This window comes from Homo sapiens, chromosome 1 (assembly GCF_000001405.40).
Source record: "Homo sapiens chromosome 1, GRCh38.p14 Primary Assembly".
In the NCBI taxonomy this organism is placed as follows: Eukaryota; Metazoa; Chordata; class Mammalia; order Primates; family Hominidae; genus Homo; species Homo sapiens.
In genome coordinates, this window is record NC_000001.11 from 88,341,299 (window position 1) to 88,342,459 (window position 1,161).

The 1,161-nt window shown below is 49.2% G+C and overlaps 1 annotated feature.

Annotated features, from left to right (window-relative positions):
* Positions 263 to 816: an enhancer, noted in NCBI's record as "H3K27ac-H3K4me1 hESC enhancer chr1:88807244-88807797 (GRCh37/hg19 assembly coordinates)". NCBI's record gives its function as "activates a minimal SCP1, AML or CMV promoter by ChIP-STARR-seq in naive H9 embryonic stem cells {active_cell/tissue: H9 hESC(naive)}" and the evidence as "EXISTENCE:reporter gene assay evidence [ECO:0000049][PMID:30033119]".

The following is a 1,161-nucleotide window of genomic DNA, read 5'->3' on the forward strand; positions in this document are numbered from 1 at the left end:
AATTTAAAATGAATTAGCACCCAGAAGAGCTCATAATTGTATTCACTCTATGTAAAAAGCATCTCAGGAAAAAAGAAAAAAAAGAAAGTGTAAAAGTTACTAGACCTGTTTGTATTCAAACGAGCAGTTTAATTACCAGATGAGACAGAGATCTAACCCCATACATATACCCACATACAAATCATCCTGAATATTACTTTCCAGAGAATTGAAATCTGGAGGAGAGAAACTCCCTCATTCTGTCATCACTGTCTGCTGACTTCGGTGAAACATAAAGGCGCCCAGGCACAGGAAGGTAAGTGGTAGAAGTAGAAGCCTTGTCATTACCCAGCAGTATGGATCGTGTTATTGTGTCTGACCCTGAGTTCTGCATGGTCACCCACCTCTGCATTGAGTACCCAGGGGATAATTCATCATAAATGAAAATGTTCCCGGTAAAGGTGGGGGGAGGAGTCATTGGTCATGGCTAGAGCTGGGATTTATTGCATTATAATAAGTTAATTAACTGCTGCACTCATTGCATTTTAAAGAATGAGAATAGGTCGGAGGAGCCAAGATGGCTGAATAGGAACAGCTCCGGTCTACAGCTCCCAGCGTGAGCGACACAGAAGACGGGTGATTTCTGCATTTCCATCTGAGGTACCAGGTTCATCTCACTAGGGAGTGCCAGACAGCGGGCGCAGGTCAGTGGGTGCACGCACCATGCGCGAGCCAAAGCAGGGCGAGGCATTGCCTCACTTGGGAAGCGCAAAGGGTCAGGGAGTTCCCTTTCCGAGTCAAAGAAAGGGGTGACGGACGCACCTGGAAAATCGGGTCACTCCCACCCGAACATTGCGCTTTTCAGACCGGCTTAAAAAACGGCGCACCACGAGACTATATCCCACACCTGGCTCGGAGGGTCCTACGCCCACGGAATCTCGCTGATTGCTAGCACAGCAGTCTGAGATCAAACTGCAAGGCGGCAATGAGGCTGGGGGAGGGGTGACCGCCATTGCCCAGGCTTGCTTAGGTAAACAAAGCAGCCAGGAAGCTCGAACTGGGTGGAGCCCACCACAGTTCAAGGAGGCCTGCCTGCCACTGTAGGCTCCACCTCTGGGGGCAGGGCACAGACAAACAAAAAGACAGCAGTAACCTCTGCAGACTTAAATGTCCCTGTCTGAC